At 34.2% G+C, this 20,108-nt stretch overlaps 1 long non-coding RNA gene and 1 pseudogene across 1 annotated transcript in view, besides 1 other annotated feature; both read left to right on the top strand.

The window, feature by feature from the left end:
- Window positions 1-20,108, top strand: part of LINC01090 (long intergenic non-protein coding RNA 1090) — a 252,096-nt gene that overhangs the window by 8,769 nt on the left and 223,219 nt on the right. The window lies entirely within an intron of this gene.
- On the top strand, window positions 2,079-2,191 carry RNA5SP114 (RNA, 5S ribosomal pseudogene 114; annotated as a pseudogene).
- Window positions 2,287-2,581: a silencer, noted in NCBI's record as "tiled region #8723; HepG2 Repressive non-DNase unmatched - State 21:Repr, and K562 Repressive non-DNase unmatched - State 15:Elon". NCBI's record gives its function as "represses a minimal TATA promoter and a strong SV40 promoter by Sharpr-MPRA in HepG2 and K562 cells {active_cell/tissue: HepG2 | K562}" and the evidence as "EXISTENCE:reporter gene assay evidence [ECO:0000049][PMID:27701403]".

Raw genomic sequence — 20,108 nt, 5'->3', positions numbered from 1 at the left:
TAACAGTAGCTGAGAGAGCACCCCACTCACAGAAGAAGGAATGCTCCGTCCTCCCAGTGGAATGGAAACAAAATCTCTCTATAAATATTACACCTCCCTGCTGGGAGTGTTGGCTCAGCCTGTAATCCCCTCACTTTTGGAGGTCGAGTGGGCAGATCGCTTGAGCCCAGGAGTTGGAGACCCCCCCTGGGCCACACTGCGAGACTCTGTCTCTACAAAAAACACAAAAATCGGGAGGTGGAGGCAGAAGAATTGCTTGAGCCCTGAAGGCGGAGGTTGCAGTGACCAGAGATAGCCTCACTGCACTCCAGCCCGGGCGACAGAAAGAGACCCCGTCCTAACAAACAAAATCAAAAACTTACATTGCACCTCCCAAAGGCTGAGGACTACAGTGCTGCTTTCCCCATTCCCAATCCTCTTCCTATCTGAAGAAGGGGTAGGAACTAGTTCTTTTATTTTTGCGGGTGGCTCTCTTTAGAAAATACCAGTATAGCTCCTCTTTATTTCTCGTTTTGGGTTTTCAGCACAACAAGACAGCCAGAAAAATCTCATTAAAAATTCCGTTATGCAAATTCTTAAAGATTATCTAGAAATAATTATATTTTTAGATTATACAGTAATAATAACAATGGTTTTTCTAAGGTTTCAGTGATGGGTTGAGAAATAAAAAGCATTATAGTTTTGTTTATTGAGATTTTAACAATGATGAAGTGAGTTTCAAAGGAGAAAACACATTTGACAATTTTCTGTCACAGGGATTCATCTGTGTACAAAATTTATACAATATAAAAAGCTCATGAAATCTGCCATGTGGAATATAAGACGTAGATGTCATAAGTGAGAAATAATTCTCATACAGCTACACATCTCGTTTACGTTTGCTTCAGAATACAGATACATAATTAACTTTTTTATATAATGGAAAATTGGACTGGTTGTTATGACAGAGCATGACTCCACTTGGAACTTATACAGGGTATGTTTAAGGACACACAGCATGTATTGACACACAAAAAAATCTGAAAACTCTGTTCTATAAATACGGTTGTTCTGTTAGACATCGTTTTCACAGAGCCTCATTGAAACAGTTTATATGAGTAGCAGTGGAAAATAGTCAAGAGACATTAAATTAGAGGCGGCCTATCACACTGTATTAGGAGCTTTATGTTTTAAAATATTCCAATTTTGATTTGAAAATTAATCAGAATTCTACTTGAATCTCAAATTCCAAAGTCTCAGGAAAACAAAAAAGAAAAATATTATTGAAGGCAAGAAAGTGATGTCTCAACTATAAACATAAGTTATAATTGTAATTTTAACTATTAATTTCAAAAATTTCAATGAACCGTTAATTATTTTAGACCCACAGGTAAATTATGGATACATCTCTCTCTTTTTTTTTAACTTTCAAGAAAGTTACGATGTTGTTAGTATTTGGGAAGAAACAACTTAAAATCTAGTAGGATTGTTTTAGAGGTTTGGGATAGTACGTTTCCCTCAGTTTTCTTCTATTTCAGATAATGCTGCTTCCTTTACTGTTTCATATTCTATATTCCATTAACCACCAAATAATTTGACTCTAGAACCATAATTTACTCTAAAACAGGAGATGAGGTGTTTTAATGCCTATATTAAAACAGGTAACATTTGGCCAAGACATGGAAATCATAGATAAATGAGAAAGGAATTGCAAATAAACATAATGATATAGATAAAGAGTGTAATTTATATAAGGGGGAAGGTGATAATGATTAATATAATAGAGATGTTTCTAACCTTTATTTTTATACTATGTATACAATGGTGATGACAAAAAAAAGTAATGCAAAGTATGCATAGAATGTTATTAGTGGATAGTCTGGGTGGTAGAAATAAAAATTATTTAAATATTTGATAATTGTCTGCACTTCCTAAATTTTATACAATTTTTCTTCTTTTTAATTTAGTGTAGTTTTCTAATTTCTAGGTTATATTATTTAAGTGAGAAAAATTATAGAAATATTACAGTGTCATTCTAATTTTACAGAAATCACTTACTATTATGAAAGCAATGTTTCCCACTTTTAGTTCAGAAATTAGTCTACAGCCATACCACCCTGAACACGCCCGATCTCGTCTGATCGTGGAAGCCAAGCAGGGTGGTGCCTGGTTAGTACTTGGATGGGAGTTCAGAAATTAGGGGTTGTTGGGGCTCAGAAACTGATACCGCAAAATATGGTGCTTTGACATGCTGAACTGAGGAAGAGGCCTCAAGATCTCTCTGAGAATCACCCCCACTTTTGTCCTCAATCCTTTGTCTTTCCCAAAGTACAGGATGAAGTTGTTATCTAACATTCCTTTGTTTGCCTTATTTGCACATTAATAAATTTGTATGTCCTTTCTCCTCTAAATCTGCCTTTTGTTCACTGATTGTCAGTGAAGCGTCAGAAGGTGAAAGGGAAGATTTCACCATTTCCTTCTTAGTCAAGTTATGGATAAATTCCTATAGTTCCGCCAGGCGCGGTGGCTCATGCCTGTAAATCCCAGCACTTTGGGAGGCCGAGGCAGGCAGATCACCTGAGGTCGGGAGTTCAAGACCAACCTGAGCAACATGGAGAAACTCCGTTTCTACTAAAATGCAAAATTAGGCGGGTGTGGTGGCGCATGCCTGTGATCTCAGCTACTCGGGAGGCTGAGGCAGGAGAATCACTTGAACCTGGGAGGCGGAGGTTGCGGTGGGCTGAGATCAGGCCATTGCACTCCACCCTGGGCAACAAGAGTGAAACTCTGCCTTAAAAAAAAATAAAAAATTCTTATCGTTCCAATCGAAAACATCAGGTTATTGCACATTAATTAAATTTGGTGAGTGTATGTTTTGTATACTGTGATTCTGAAAAAAAATCCATAACAATGTGCCTTTATATTCTGATTTGATTCCTTTTTTTTAAGACGAGTCTCTCTCTGTCACCCAGGCTGGAGTGCAGTGGTGGATCTCAGCTCACTGTAACCTCCGTCTCCCAGGTTCAAGCAATTCTCCTGCCTCAGCCTCCTGAGTAGTTGGGACTACAGGGGAGCACGACCATGCCCGGCTAATTTTTGTGTTTTCAGTAGAGATGGTGTTTCACCATATTGGCCAGCCTGGTCTCAAACTCTTGACCTCGTGATCCACCTGCCTTGGCCTCCCAAAGTGCTGGGATTACAGGTGTGAGCCACCCCTTCTGGCCTGATATGAATCTTAAAATAAAATCTAGCCCCTAATTCTTGAGAGAAAGTTTGTAGTCGTGGAAAGAATGTGGACTTTGAAATGAAACAGATCTGCATTCAAATGCTGAGTTCTGTGACTATTTTTTAAATAGTACTTCTCATATTTCATATTATGCAAGTAACATGATAGTCCCCCAAATTCCTTCTCTTTCACATCACTTTTCTGCTTTGCACATCAATACATAGTTTATTTACCCTCTCTTTGAATCTTGGCTGTCTATGTGAAGTGCTTTACTGCATAAAATGCAGAGAACTTCTAAGTGCAGGTTTAAAAAGTACAGGTGGCTTTCACCTTCTTCCTCTTAGAACCCAGCATCCAGAATATGAGAAGCCTCAACCAGGGTGACAGGCCAGGTGGGGATGCTGTGTGAAGAGGAAAATGTCCTACAACTATATAGCAGAACCAAGAAACCCAGCTGACAGTAAGGACAAAATCCCAGACGTATGATCCAAGTTAAGCCATGCTAACCAGCCTCCAGTTTTTTGAACCATCCTAGCTGGGGTATCAGGCATGTGATGTAAAAGCCATTGTGAATGTTTTATGACCAGCAGCAGGGCAGGCTTTATAGATGTGTGACCTGAGCAGTTACACGGAAGGCTCCTATGCTTTAAGGTTTCTGTGCTTGGCTTAATGCTCTGCTATCACTAAATTGAAATACTTAATAATTTATGAACAAGTCCAACTTCTTCTTTTTGCACTGGCCTGGTAAATCATGTATTAATTCTGCCCAGCAGACATTATATAAAGCTGAGACCATCCAAACCCACTATGCCTTGTTCAGATGTCTTACCAAGAGTATTTTAAGTGATAATTAAATAATTATTGTTTTAATCCACTCAGTTTTGGGGGAGATTGTTTACAGCAACAGATAACCAAAATACATGGCATTTGAAAATAGCAAAGAAGCTCACAAGGAGACCATAAAAAGAGATTTCTTTGTGAAGACAGGGATGAGAGGAAGATGCAAGTATTTATATGAAGATTTAAGGGTGTTCTTAAAGAATATATCCAAAAATGTAACGCTTTAGAATTGATGCAGGGCAGGCAAGTCCCAAAATTGAGGCTTAGCTAGGGAGGGTCCTGGCTTCACACAGGAAAGAATTCAGGGGCAAGCTGGTGGTGTTAAACAGGAACTTTTATTGAAGTGGCAATGTACAGCAGCAGCAGAGATACTGCTCCTTGTACAGCAGAGCTACCCTGCAGGCAGTGTGCTCAGAGTAGCAGCTGAATGGCAATTCTGCAGTCATATTTATATCCACTTTTAATTACATGCAGACTAAGAGGTGGATTATACAGAAATTTCTAGGAAAGGGCTGGTAACATCCAGATCGCCAGGTCATTGCCATGGAAAGGGGCAGTAACTTCCAGGTGTTGCAATGGCAATGAACTGGCATGGCACACTGGCATATATGTCTTATGGAGAGCTACTTCTTCCCTGGCCATGTTTTAGCTAGTCCTCAATTTGGTCTGGTGTCTGAGTTCTGCCTCCAGTGTTGCATCTGATCTCCCACATGAAAATGATAGATGGTGAAAGAAATCAAGTTTTTTAAAACATAAATATATTATCCAATGTATCATTTGAAAAAGTTTAAAGACTTGTAGCTGTAACCAACACATGTAAGCTACCCTTATTTGATATTTTAAATGTTGAATAATGAAAAAGTTACTCAATTAATTTAAAAGTGGAGAATTTTAGAATGTATATTTTAATAACTAGTTTACAATTTAAAAAACAAGAAAAGCATGCATGCATGCATATAAAAAAGTTTTGTTAGAGAATGATTTGAAGTCACATGGGATGGAATAAAGTGATGCTTATAAAATAGATTTTTGATGCTGTATCTTTTAGCAACTTAAAAAAATTAAAATATCCAAACAGTTTTAAATGCCTTAAAGTTCTGTGTGTTAGCCTACCTGGGATGAATTTTTATGTCTGATCTGAAATAAGATTCTAAATTTTCTTTTTATTCATTTGGATACCCAGTTATTCTAGTGCCATTAAGCGGAGTCACTTCTTCTCCAGTAGTATGTAATTCCCTGTAACTTACATACTACAGTGTCATATTTGTGGATCTGATTCTATGTGCTTTATTCTGTTCTATTGTTTGCTTATTTTTTCATTTATCAATACTACACTGTTTTAATTACCATAAACTTATCTTTAAATAGAAATTGCCTGTTTTCTTTCTCTTCCTCCTTTTCTTCTCTTTTAAAATTCTACTTTTTCTTTTTTATTCCCTTTTTTTCCTTTTTTTTTGAGACAGTGTCTCGCTTTGTCGCCCAGGCTGGAGCTCAGTGACAGGATCTCGGCTCACTGCAAACTCCTCCTCCCAGGTTCACACCATTCTCCTGCCTCAGCCCCAGAGTAGCTGGGACTACAGATGCCCGCCACCATGCCCGGCTAATTTTGTGTATTTTTAGTAAAGACGCGGTTCACTGTGTTAGCTAGGATGGTCTCCATCTCATGACCTCGTGATCTGTCTGCCTCGGCCTCCCAAAGTGCTGGGATTACAGGTTTTTTATTCCTTTTTAAGCTCATCTTCTCCTCCTCTTATTTATTCTACTTTTCTACAAGTTTGTCTTGTCTAGATTAGACTCTGCTTTTCCATTTACATTTGGGATCAGCTTATCAATTACATGGAAAACAATTTTATTTATCATTTTGTCCTGTATATCTCTGTTCTTTTTCTGGAACTCTTTTTTTTTTAATCATATATTAACCTTCTCCATTTAAATACTGTCTTATATTTGCAGCATTCTCTATCTTTTAATTAAATAATTCGTTCTTGTCACATCATGTTTTCTGTTTTAACTATCAATGTAGTATTAAATTGCAGTATCTATATTTTTTATTTTCAGAATTTCTATTTTTTTTTTCAAATCTACTCTTTGTTGTTCATGATTCTTGTTCTGCCATTATGTTTTCTTTTTCTTCTGTTAACAGTTTATATTTTCGCCTAGTGGAATTAAATATTCCTTTCATTGAGATCTCAATTCTATCTAGCCAGATTGCTCTGAACTAAAACACTTCTTTCCTCTTATAGGAAGATGCACTTTGTATCTAGTGGTTGGGGACTACATTCAGGCCCAATATTTCTCTGGTTATTCTGGGTAACAGCTCACATTTTCCATCCTGTATTTGGTTTCTGCCCTTGTTTCCAGTAGTTGGAATTAATACGTCAATAATTAAAAGTATTGATGTACTTGTTAATTCTTTAGTTATCTTTTAAATATAATTATTTGAATTGCTGACTGCACCCATAATGGCCAGCAAAACATTCCATTTAGCCATTCTGCTCCCAGCCTTGGTTAAGCCTCTGTTCTAATGAGGTTATAGGATACGTTGGAGCCAAGGTCCCAAGATTATGACACAACTCAATGTTTTCAAAATTAAATGAGTCATACAGACTTGATTCATTAGATTCTCAACTGAAATAGGTAAGTTATTTCAATCATATGATACAATGATTAGAATCAGCACAAAATATATTCTTTAGAAAAATACCACTTAAAAGTGTAATTTAATAGATAAGGTCTACAAATTCTTTCCATAAATAATAGTCAAAAAAATTCTACAACTTTAATTGGCATCTATATTTTAAATATGAAGGATTTTGGTACAGAAACTAATTATTTATGATAAAACTGATAAGTAAACATCAAATTAGAGACTGCATGTAGGAATTTATATAATTACGATAATTCAGTAAGATAATTTACTCTTTTCCAAATAAAATTAAACATTGAAATTTTGCCACTTTGTTTTTGGTAAGAAAACATTCTCACATTTGCAATTGTCAAAATATTTAAGCTTATTTTTTCATTCTTCTTATTGCATGGCACCCTCTGGTTTCAACTAAACACAATCTTAAAATTTGACAAAATATTTTCATGTTCGAATAATTAATCCCTCATTGAGAAATTGGACACTAAATACACCAAAAACTGTATAAAATGCTTAAAAGAAATGGCATTATCACTCAGCAGAAATCTAAATATTTGAAAATATTTTGGATATTATTTTATTTTTTCCAGATATATTAGTGTATAATACATAGAATCTATTAGCATAATACTTTGTTAATTCAAATACTAGTCTAAAAATAATTATTCATTTTCTTCTTTGTCTTAATACATCTTGGAACAAATAATAATTCTCTATTAATATTATATTGTGATTTTTCTATGTAATGATACAAATAGAAATCTTTCCCGTTTTCTATATTTAAAATCATTTTCTTAAATAGTATATGATAGAAACACTAAGTCTGTTATAAACTTCTGGGTCATATAATGAGACGGTATATTAAAAACACCCTCTTAGAAAATGAGAACCTGTTTAAAATAAAAGTCATCAGGAGTAATGTAGGAAGGACTTCAAATACAATTTGTAAAATTCTTATATGTAGATAAAAAGATACTAATGTCAAAGTCAGGAAATGCTACTTAAATAGGAAAATCCCATTCTAACATATCTGCAGCAGTTAATAAATTGAACACACACACACACACACACGCACACGCACACACACAGCCCACATATTTAGCACATATCTTGAGTTTTTTGGAAAAAATATCGATTTAAATAAAATAAAGATTGTTTTTGAACTCGTTGCTTTGTTTGAAGATACCTTAAAATACAATTTAAAGAAAATATTTGAGAAAATTTTAAACAAAACTGAATCTTTTGAACAAATGCAGACATAGAGAAGGTCATTGTATATTTTTAGCATAGAAGTTAAAAATATAACAAAGGCCAGGCACAGTTGCTCACACCTGTAATCCCAGCACTTCGGGAGGCCGAGGCAGTCAGATCATGAGGTCAGGAGTTCAAGACCAGCCTGGCCAATATGGTGAAACCCTGTCTCTACTAAAAATACAAAAATTAGCCAGGTGTGGTGGCGTGTGCCTGTAGTCCCAGTTACTTGGGAGGCTGAGGCAGAACAATCACTTGAACCCGGGAGGCAGAGGATTCAGTGAGCCGAGATCGAACCACTGCACTCCAGCCTGGGCAACAGAGCAAGACTCTGTCTCCAAAAAATAAAATAAAAATAAAAATAAAAAAATATATAGCGAATAAACTCATATTATCTTAGTTGTAATCAAATCCTAACTCTATGAACTTACTAGCATTGTGATTTTAGGAGAGCAGAGGAAATGCAGTATTTGAAACAATACTAGTTGACATTTTCCAAAACTGATTTGAGAAGTTTGCTAAACTCATTTAGAATTTTTTTTTTTAAAAAAAACCTCATTTGGACAATTATATGAAAACAAATGGAAACAAAATTCCAAAGTTGACTTTTAAAAGTATTAAGGGGGTAGAAGGCACATTATCTTTAAAAGAGCAACAAAAAAGTACACATGATTTTTTAGCAAAAATTATGGAAATCAGGGTATAATGGAATGACATCTTAATAGTGCTGAAATAAAATGATTTCAACATAGAATCCTATACTAGTAAAATTATCTTCAAAAAGAAAAAGGGAAATCATTTTTTTCTGGATAAAAAGAATCTGAAAGAAAATGTAATCCGCAGATCCACACTAAATAGATATATGAGAGAGAGAGGGAGAGAGAGAGAAAGAGATACTGAAGTGTTATTTTCCTTCCTCTCTAAACTCTAATTTATATTACGTTATTTGGTCTAAAGAAGCTAATCTGTGACATTGTCCTGAGAATTTCCTCCTCTACCATAGAATAACATTTCTTTCTTTCTGTGTGATCTACTTTTTCATACGCTAACCATAGTCTTTCTTTGACTGCACTTCAGTAAACTCGTTATAATATGACTCTTGCTTTAATATTAACTTGTGGTAAGCAGTAGTGCTAAACATTTAATCTGAAATTTGTGATAAGAAATAGTGTTCGAATCATCTTTCTCTTTCTAACAATTGGAACATTGTCTGACTCAGTATATACTCTCTATGTAATTGATGAAAAAATAAATACCTTTGTAGTAGAGGCTACGGTTAGGAAATTATAACAATATAGCCTATCTTCTAAAGTGGTTATAACATAATTAAGATGACTTTTGCACAAAATTAAGATAAGAGCTTTTGCACATTAATTTGTGTAGCAAATTTATGGACTCCAAATGTCAGTCATAAAATATATAATATACACAATTTGTATATGGGATGTAGAGAAAATATTGTAACAAATGAAGATGCTAGTTAGTTGGTCTTAATAAAAATGTTACTAAATTTGTTCATGCTTCTTCATCTGTCCCTTGAGTGATAGAAAAGGTAATGGCATTTTAAATTTTCTTGAGAAGCGAATTAATCTCATAGAGAGCACTAGCTTTGACACATTGTGAAAATGAACACTTTAATGAACACTTCAACTCTTTTAGAAGTTAGATTTTACATTTATAACCTCAAAGCATATAAAGGCAGCAAAGGATAATGAAAGAAATCAGCTTAGTGGCTGTTCAGAGAGCATGGCTAATCAGATCTCCCTGGTTTCCTCACCAGTGACTGTGCTCTTGCTGAGGCAATGGTGTCCACATTGTCTCTCAGTCCCACATAGTCGTAAGAAGCCTAGGGTAAGCTGATTAATTCCCTTAAATCCTTTTGTACATCACCTGAATCTCCAGCAATTTTATATGATTGCTAAAATACTGCCTTTAATAAATGAGGTCATCTGGATCTAGTCTCAGATTCTTCTTCTGATATTAGCCCTGGGTATTTCAGTTACATGATGAAATGAAGTCATTTTCAATATACAGCTTATGGAGTTTAGAGATTCTGGTTTTTGAAGCCAAAAGATTCCTAACTAAAAAAGACAGGAAGGATGCTATAAGAATTCCATGATATTTCACCCTGAACTTCGCCGCCGTTTTTGCTTCCATTTTGGTCTATTAATAAAAAGCCGCTTATATGACCCAGACATATCATGCTGTTTGGTTACTTCATATATTTATGCCCTTTTGAGTAAAATTGCATGTCAAAGCCTACCACAAAGATCACAGTTAAGTTTCTATGGAGGTTTTAATGATGATACATATCTCTATCTCCTCACTTTCCCCATGCAAACTTCCTCGTTCTTTTTTGTGCCAACACTTTGCCTTTTACATACCATTTTTACAAAAGTAACACTTTATGTTAATGTCTGGTCCTCCCCCTGAGTAGGTAATTCTTGAGGATAGTAATTTTATCTGATTCACTTTTGTATCCAATAGCAACTAATATGGTGAAACTAAAGTGGAAGCAAAGTATATATTGAATGCATAAAAATACCATAAAGAAAAATAAACTGAACACAGCAATGTCTTATGCATAAGTACTCCAAAAATATTTTCTCAGCTAGATAGCTATGTCTTGAGGAACTACTTTTTTATTATTTTGGTGTTTTTCTCATAAAACAGGGTATAATGAAGTCTGAAATCTTAAAGGCACTTTAAAGCGTTCCCACATCAAACATTTTTTTAATATCACAAGGCTACTAAATATTGTAGGGTGCTAGAATGCAAAACTTGTCAAATATCACTTTTGAGCTATCACACTGTTTCTCTCTTGAAATTTACACATGGTGTCCAAAAAATAAAGTGAAAGCACATTGGAGTAAAACACATAATAACGGTGTCATAAACAAATAATCAAATAGACTATATTCAAAGCTAAAAATCATAATGTTGTTTAAAATTCAACTGAGTGAAGTAGTTTGTATGACTAGTGGTATTAATAAGCCACTTTATAGAAAAAAATGCAAGGTGGCAAATAAAAACAATGAATAAAAATCATCTTTATTATAAATATGTGTAATTATATTTTTTCCAGCAGCTTTAAACTGACATGAATATCTGCGATGAGTATCTCTGAGTTCTAATGTTACCTACTATACTAATAGATGAGGGGTCATTCTATTAAAAGAATGAGAATGCTTCATGCACAGGTTATGATATCAAAAGGCAGCAGTTCTTTTTAGTAAACTGAAACTCCTGTGACAACAAGTGTGGAAATTTAACTTTGTACTTTTAGTGAAACAAGTTTTTGGTCATGTACTGAAATACACCATAGTAAAGAAGAACTTCTTGCTGGAAATGAAAAATTCTAACTGTCTACTCCAACTAGGAATGGTCATGCTAAATTTGAAATCCCAATTATAGAATAATTATACTTTTTTTGCTAACCTTCACTAATAAAATAGCTATTGTTAATTTGATTTCATTAATTTTAAAGACAAATAAGCATTACATTACTTCATTTTTTGATAACACTTTAGAAAGTTCTACTTCCAAAGATGGTAAGAGCAGCAACTTTGTTTTGTTCATTTCTATATCCTCAGGAAATTATTCAAGGACAAGGTGGTTTCTCATTAAATATTTTATGGAATGAATGAATAGATGAGTATGATGGTTAATACTGAGTGTAAACTTGATTGGATTGAAGGATACAAAGTATTAATGCTGGGTGTGTCTGTGTGGGTGTTGCCAAAGGAGATTAACATTTGAGTCAGTGGGCTGGGAAAGGCAGACCCACCCTTAATATGGGTGGGCACAATCTAATCAGTTGCCAATGCAGCTAGAATATAAGCAGGCAGAAAAATGTGAAAAGAGAGACTGGCCTAGCCTCCCAGCCTACACCTTTCTCCCATGAAAGAGAGACTCCAATGTTTGATGCTTCCTGCCCTTGAACATTGGACTCCAAGTTCTTCAGTTTTGGAACTTGGACTGGCTCTCCTTGCTCCTCAGCCTGCAGACGTCCTATTGTGGGACCTTGTGATCGTGTGAGTTAATACTTAATAAACTCCCCTTTACATATATATATGTGTGTGTGTGTGTGTGTACATATATATATATATGTACACACACATATATATGTATATATGTATATACATGTATATATGTACATATATATATACACATATATATATCCCATTAATTCTATTCCTCTAGAGAACCCTAATACAATGAGTGAAGAAATAAATTAATGACATTCACAATGAGTGTAGGTGCAGATAATGAAAGGGTCTGGGAAAGTTGGCCCCTCCCTTGAATTGAATAAGAGCTCCCAAAGAAAGAGTTTTATATTTTATTGACCACATATTTTATGCTTGTCATTTGTACAGGTTCTATAATTGCAATGCAGGTTCAGTTATTGTTTTTTTTGTTTTTGGCAATGCTGATGTATCCATTGGAATCAAGTCAGAGAAACAGAAGCCACTTTTGGATTTCAAACAGAATTTAACAAAGAGAATGTTGACACAGTTGAAATTAGAGCTAAAAAAGCCAAACAAAGGATAAGACGATCCAGAAATCTGTAATGGCAGGAAGTTGTTACCATGATTATGCTGAAAGAAGAAACCCAGAAGACCACCTTACTGGATCTTAGAAGCCAGGACTACCTGGGAGAAGCTGGAAGTACACTACACAACAGACCTCCATTCATGCAGTAAAGGGTTGTTTGGTGGGTAATGGAGCCACTGAGAAAAACTGGCCATCGCTGGACATAACAGTAGAGGTAGAGAGCTACAGGGAAAAACTGTGGAGTGAAAAACCTTGACTTCTCATTTTATCCTGCCTTCCTATTTCTATTGAGTGTGTCCCATTGGTTGGCACTAGTTGAAAGCCAGTGGGCAAGGGGTTCTGGAAAATTTAGTTTCCTCTGATATAGATAAAAAGGAGGAAAAGTTGGAGAATGAAACTGAGAGCAGATAGGTAAAGTGGAATGCACTATGATTTTAAGTAGAAAAATGTTCACTTTTAATTCTTTATATGGGCACATTCAACTTTAACACAGAATTAGATATTATATTTTTCTGATTGCATTTTTAAAATATCCTCATAAAACAAAATATAAGAATGAACTTTCTGGAGCATAGATATACTATTTTGTTTTTATTTTCCCTTCGTAAACTATATTTGTTAACTTTGTGGGTGGTTTTATAAGCTTCTTGGCAAGAATGTTTATTGTATTTGTATTTTCTATAGCTATTATGATTGTTATTTAATTGACAGATAAAAATTTTATGTATTGATCATGTACAATATGCCGTTTTGAAATACGTATACATTGCAGAATGGCTACACTGAGCTAATGAACATATGCATTGCCTCACACACTTATCACATTTGTGGTGACAACACAACATCTACTCTCTTAGCATTTTTTGAGAATATAATATATTGTTATTAACTACAGTCATCATGTTGCACAATAGCACTCTTGAACTTACTCCTTCTATATAACTGAAATTTTGTATCCTTTAACCAACATCTCCCCACCCTCACCCCTCACCCCTCACCCCAGCCTCTGGTAACCACCATTCTACTCTCTACTTCTATGAATTTAACTTTTTTAGATTCCATATATAAGTGAGATCATGCTGTATTTGTCTTTCTGTGCTTGGCTTATTTCACTTAATGTAATGTTCTCCAAGTTCATCCATGTTTTCTCAAATGTCAGGAATTCCTTCTTTTTAAAGCTGGATGATATTCCTTTATATGTATCCAATATACAATATATGTCTATTATATGTACAATGGTATTCCATTGTATGTCTGTTATACGTATATATCTCACATTTCCTTTATCTAGTCATACGTTGATACATATTTTGGCTGTCATAAATAATGCTGCAATGAAAATGAGAGTTCAGGTATCTTTCACATACTGATTTCATTTTCTTTAAATACATACCCAATAGTGAGATTACTGGATCATACGGTAGTTTTATTTTCAATTTTTGGAGGAAGCTTCATACTGTTTTCTATAGTGGCTACACTAATTTACATTATCCGCATCACTGTACAGTGGTTTCCTTCTCACCACAACCTTGTCAACATTTATTGTCTTTTGTATTTTGATAATAGCCATCTTAACAAGTATGAGATGATATCTTGCTTTTTAAAATTTTTTATTTTATTTTAAGTTCTGGGATACATGTGCAGAACATGCAGGTTTGTTACATATGTATACATGTGCCATGGTGGTTTGCTGCACCTGTCAACCCGTCATCTGTCTTGTGGTTTTAATTTACATTTTTCTGATGATTAGTGGTGTTTAGCATATTTTTCGTATACCTGCTGCCCATTTGTATGTCTTCTTTTGAGAAATGTCTACTCAAGACCTTTGCCCATTTTAAAAATTAATTATTTGGTTTTCTAAAAGTAATATTGAGTTTCTTATATATTTTGGATATTAATCTCTTATCAGAGGTATGGTTTGCAAATAGTTTCTCTCAATCTGTATGTTGCCTCTTCACTCTGTTGATATTTTCCTTGAGTGTGCAGAAGTTTTTTAGTTTGATATAATCCCATTTGCCTATTTTTGTTTTTGTTCCCTGTGCTTTTGCGTTCATATCCAAAAATGTATTTCCCATACCAATGTCATGGAGCTGTTCCCCATGTTCCTTTCTAGTAGTTTTACAGTTTCAGATCTTACATTTAAGTCTTTAATCAATTTTGAGTTGATTTTTGTATTTGGTGTGGAAAAAAAGGTCTAGTTTCATTCTTCTACATATGGATATCCAGTTGTCCCAACGTTATTTACTGAAGAAAGTCTTTTCCCTATTGTGTGTTATTGGTGCCTTTGTCAAAAATCAGTTGATTTCAAATGCATGGATTTATTTATGAGCTCTCTATTAAGTTTCATTTCTGTATGTGTCCATATGCTATAATAGTAACATGCTGTTTTGATTACTATAGATTTGCAGTACATTTTAAAGTCTGGTAGTGTGATGCCTCTAGCTTTGTTCTTTTTACTCATTTTTTTTTTTTTTTTTTTGAGACGGAGATTCACTCTTGTTGCCCAGGCTGCAGTGCAATGGTACAATCTCGCCTCATTGCAACCTCCACCTCCCGGATTCAAGCGCGTCTCCTGCCTCAGCCTCCCGAGTAACTGGGATTACAGGCTCCCACCACCACACCTGGCTAATTTTTTGTATTTTTAGTAGAGACAGGGTTTCACCATGTTGGCCAGGCTGGTCTCGAACTCCTGACCTCGTGATCTGCCCGCCTCGGCCTCCCAAAGTGCTGGGACTACAGGTGAGAGCCACTGCACCCGGCTCGTCTTACTTAATATTGATTTGACTATTTGGGATCTCTTACGGTTCTATATGAATTTTAAGATTTTTTTCTATTTCTGTAAAAAATGTCATTGGAATTTTAATAAGGGTTATATTGAATCTGTAGATTGCCTTGAGTAGTATGGACATTTTAACAATATTATTTCTTCTAATTTATGAACATGAAATATCTTTTCAATTATTTGTGTCTTCTTTAATTTCTCTCATCAATGTTTTACAGTTTTCAGCGTACAGTTCTTTCACTTTCCTGGTTAAATTTATTCCTATTTTATTTTTTCTGTAGCTATTGTAAATAGAATTGTTTTCTTGATTTCTCTTTTTGAATAGATTGTGTTTATTGTATAGAAACATCACTGATTTTTATATGTTGATTTTGTACCTTGTAACTTTACTGAATTTGTTTATTAGTTCTAGCAGATTTTGGTGGAGTCTAGTGTTTTCTATATATAAGACCATGACAATTTGGCCAAGCACAGTGGCTCACGCCTGTAATCTCAGCACTTTTGGTGGTCGAGGCAGGTGGATCACCTGAGGTCAGGAGTTTGAGACCAGCCTGGCCAACATGGTGAAACCCTGTCTTTACTAAAAAAAAATACAAAAATTAGCTGGGCATGGTGGTGGGCACCTGTAATCCCAGCTACTCAGGAGGCTGAGGCAGGAGAATCGCTTGAACCCAGGAGACAGAGGTTGCAGTGAGCAGAGATTGCACCATTGCACTTCAGCCTGGGCGACAAGAGCAAAACTCTGTCTCAAAAAAAATCACAATTTAACTTTTTCTATTCTGAAGTGGATGACTTTTATTTCTTTCTCTTGCTTAATTGTTCTGGCTAGGATTCCAGTGTTATGTTGAAAAGAAGTAGTGAGAAGGGACATCCTTGTCTTGTTCTGATCATGGAGGAAACACTTTCAAATTTTCAGCACTGAGTATGATGTTAGCTCTGGGCTTGTCACATATGACCTTTATTGTGTTGAAGTATATTCCCTCTGTATCTAATTTATTAATAGTTATTTTCATCATGAAAGAAAGTTAAATTTGTCAATTTTTTTGCATTTATTGATATGATTATATGGTTTTTGACCTATATGCTGTTAATGTGATGTTTGGGAAAAATACTAAAATCATGTTTTTCCTCTGCCCTCACACCACAACAATCAATACAGAAGACTTCTGTGATCAAATGTGTGGTTTATTTTCCCCATTAACAAGTATTAAACACCAGCTGAGTATTCTCCAATTCAATTCTGACACTATCTACCTGGAGATAGACCGCCTCCTTGAGCTTGATTAATTTGCTGGAGTGAGTAACATAACTCAGTGAAACACGTCGACCAGTGTAATATAAAGGATATTACAATAACTACAATAAAGAGATGTGTAGGGCTAGGTGGGGGTAAGGAGCACATGTGCCTGGGTATGCCAGCCGCCAGGAACCTCCATGGTTATCTAGAAGCTTGCCTAATCCAGTCCTCTTGGGTTTTCATGGAAGCTTCATATGTCAGCCTTCCTTCCCTAAGGGTATAGGGTGAAATCCTCTCTAGGGAGAGTCTTAAGACCTACAATCAAATTATAGTCCTACCTTGGGACTCTAGAGAGCAGGAAAAGGTCAGAGAGATTGTTTCCAGATGCCTGCTCCTGAGGTTTAACATACCTAACATTATAACAAAAGACTGTAATAAGGGCTATGGGAATTATGAGCCAGGAAGGTGAAAAAAAACCTATATATATATTATATATGTTATATATAATATATATTATATAAAATATATAATATAATATATATATTATATAAAATATATAATATATAATATATATATTATATAAAATATATAATATATATATTATATAAAATATATAATATATATATTATATAAAATATATATAATATATAATATATATAATATATATAATATATAAAATATAATATGTTATATATAAAATGTATAATATATTATATATAAAATATATAATATTATATATATATATAAAATCATATCACTTGTGGTATTTCACATTCATAGATTTGCATGTGTTAAATCATCCTTGCATCCCTGGGATAAATCCCACTTGATCGTGATAAATGATCCTCATAATATCCTTTTGAATTTGATTTGCTAGTATTTTGTTGAGAATTTTTATTTCTGTGTTAATCAAGGATAGTGACTTGTAATTTCTTTTTCTTGTCATATCCTTATTTGGCTTTGTTATTAGGGTAATGCTGGCCTCATAAAGTGTATTTGGAAAAATTTTTTGTTCTTCAATTTTTTGAAATAGTTTGAGAAGATTTGGTGTTAGGTTTTTAAATGTTTGGTAGAATTCAGCAATAAAGCCATCAAGTCCTGGGCTTTTCTTTGATGAGATAGTTTTATTACTAATTCAATCTCATCACTCATTATTGGTCTATTCATATTTTCTATTTCTTCATAATTCAGTCTTGGTAGGTTGTATGTGTCTAGGAATTTATTCATTTCTTCTAATCTTCCTAAATTGTTGATACATAATTGTTCATAGTACTCTGTTACTGTTCTTTTTATGATATTAGTTGTCTTTTTAATTTCTAATTTTATCTATTTGACTTTTCTCCCTTTCTTAGTCTAGCTAATGATTTATTTTGTCTACCTTTTCAAAAAAAACAGCTCTTACTTTTGTTAATTTTTTTTCGGCCGGGAGCAGTGGCTCACGCCTGTAATCCCAGCACTTTCGGAGGCCGAGGTAGGCAGATCACCAGGTCAGGAGATTGAGACCATCCTAGTTAACACGGTGAAACCCCGTCTCTACTAAAAATATAAAAAATTAGCCGGGCGTGGCGGCGGGCGCCTGTAGTCCCAGCTACTCGGGAGGCTGAGGCAGGAGAATGGCGTGAACCCGGGAGGCAGGGCCTGCAGTGAGCCGAGATTGTGCCACTGCACTCCAGCCTGGGCGACAGAGTGAGACTCTGTCTCAAAAAAAAAAAAAAATTCTATTGTTCTTCTAGTCTCTATTTCATTAATTTATGCTCTGATCTTTATTACATTCTTCTTTCTACTCACTTTGAGCTTACGGTCTTCCTTTTCTCGTTTTTATGTAGATAATGTTAGGTTGTTTACTTGAGATCTTTTTTTTTTTTTGATGTAGGCATTTATTGCTATCAGATTCCTTCTTAGAACTGCTTTCACTGCATCATATACAGTTTGATATGCTGTATTTCCATTGTTGTTTGTGTCAAGATAATTTTTAAATTTTCTTTTTGCCCTATTTAGTGTTCAGGAACTTGTTGTTTAATTTCCATGTATTTGGGAATTTTTCTAAATTCTTCCAATTGATTTCTAGCTTCATGAAGCATAGAAGCACTTTTTTATTGAAGATAAAATTACAGATTTAGTATTTGAGAAACCAAAAAAATGGTGTCAACTACCACATTTTTTCAGGAATAATAATATATTTTTTGCTTGCTGCTTAGAATAACTCAAAGCAACATAGACAATATTTTATGACACAGTTTAAAAGCAAGATGACTTAATATTTAACAATTGTATAATATTTTAATTAGCCCAAAATACTTTTTTCCTAGATTTTAAAGATGTTTACATTTTGTCACATTTGTCATTTAAAAGAGAAAATTATAGATACAGTTGAATGTCCATTTCTGCAGTCAATCCTTGTACCTCCCTTTTTAAAGGCATATAGTCTATCGACATTTATAGGATTGTTAGTTCAGATTTTAAGTTTACATACATTATACCAAATGGTAATAAACTTTTAGAACTGGCCATTCTAACTCAACATGATTATATATTTACCAATGTTGATATGTCTAGAACTTGTTCATTCTTTCATTTTAGTTGTGCATAGTATGCTGTTGGACAGTATACTATTATTTATCTTTTGTATAAATTTGATGAAGTTTATATATTCTAGGTTCTGTTTTTCAGTTGATTATGTTGAAAATATTTTCCTTCAGTCTGTGTTGTAGTTTTGGCTAAAAAATTTTAATAGAAAAATATAACTCATTTTTCTTACACATTATTTTAACTACAGGAAGAGAAAAAAAACCCCAGAACATTAAGTAAGACTACTGAAACAAGCTAAATAGGTGATATTGCATGTAAACATACATACATCTTTCTATTCATAGACAAGACACAATAAAAAATCTTGGATGAAATACTTCGATTTGCATATATTACACATTTTCTTTTTTGCTGGTTGATTAATGACTGCAAAGAAACTTGAACTCATTTTATGTGGAGAACACTGGTAAAGAAAAAGACACAAGAAATTCTGAAAAAGTACCTGAAAGTGAAGATCCTAAGAGTGAATTGGATCTTATTAAATAAAAAGCTGTTGTTTCTATTCTGTGGTATTTAGAGTTGGGAGTGGTTATATGCATGTTATTTATTCACTCATACAGTCATTTAAGAGTTTTATTTTCTTAATTATTTAGTAAAATTTACCAATACGAGGTAAGAATCAAGGTGAAGACTTATTTTTATTTAAGTGGAAAGTAATACAAAGTTTTATAGTTGAAGGAAACAGTTTGCAGCTGAGTTTGCAGCCATTTTATTTTGGAGGTCCCTTGGATTTTCCCAGTAGGTTCTGGAGTCATTTCTACATTTTTTCTTATGAAATTTGGTGATTATTATGTTAAGTATTGGTAAATGTGGTCATATCAAAACTATGTTATTTGTATTCTGGCAAACTTTTACACTAATCATACATTGTATGACAAGCAAGAATTTCAAGGAAGTACCTAGTCTGGTCTCTTTTATGCCTGATTATTTTTATGTCTATATCCATATAACTCTCCGTTATGATACTCTGTTTCTCTAAACAGTGTATCTCTCAGTTTATTCTCTT

This window comes from Homo sapiens, chromosome 2 (genome assembly GCF_000001405.40).
Source record: "Homo sapiens chromosome 2, GRCh38.p14 Primary Assembly".
In the NCBI taxonomy this organism is placed as follows: Eukaryota; Metazoa; Chordata; class Mammalia; order Primates; family Hominidae; genus Homo; species Homo sapiens.
Note: the sequence above shows the minus strand (reverse complement) of the source record. Positions and strands in the feature narration are given on the sequence as shown.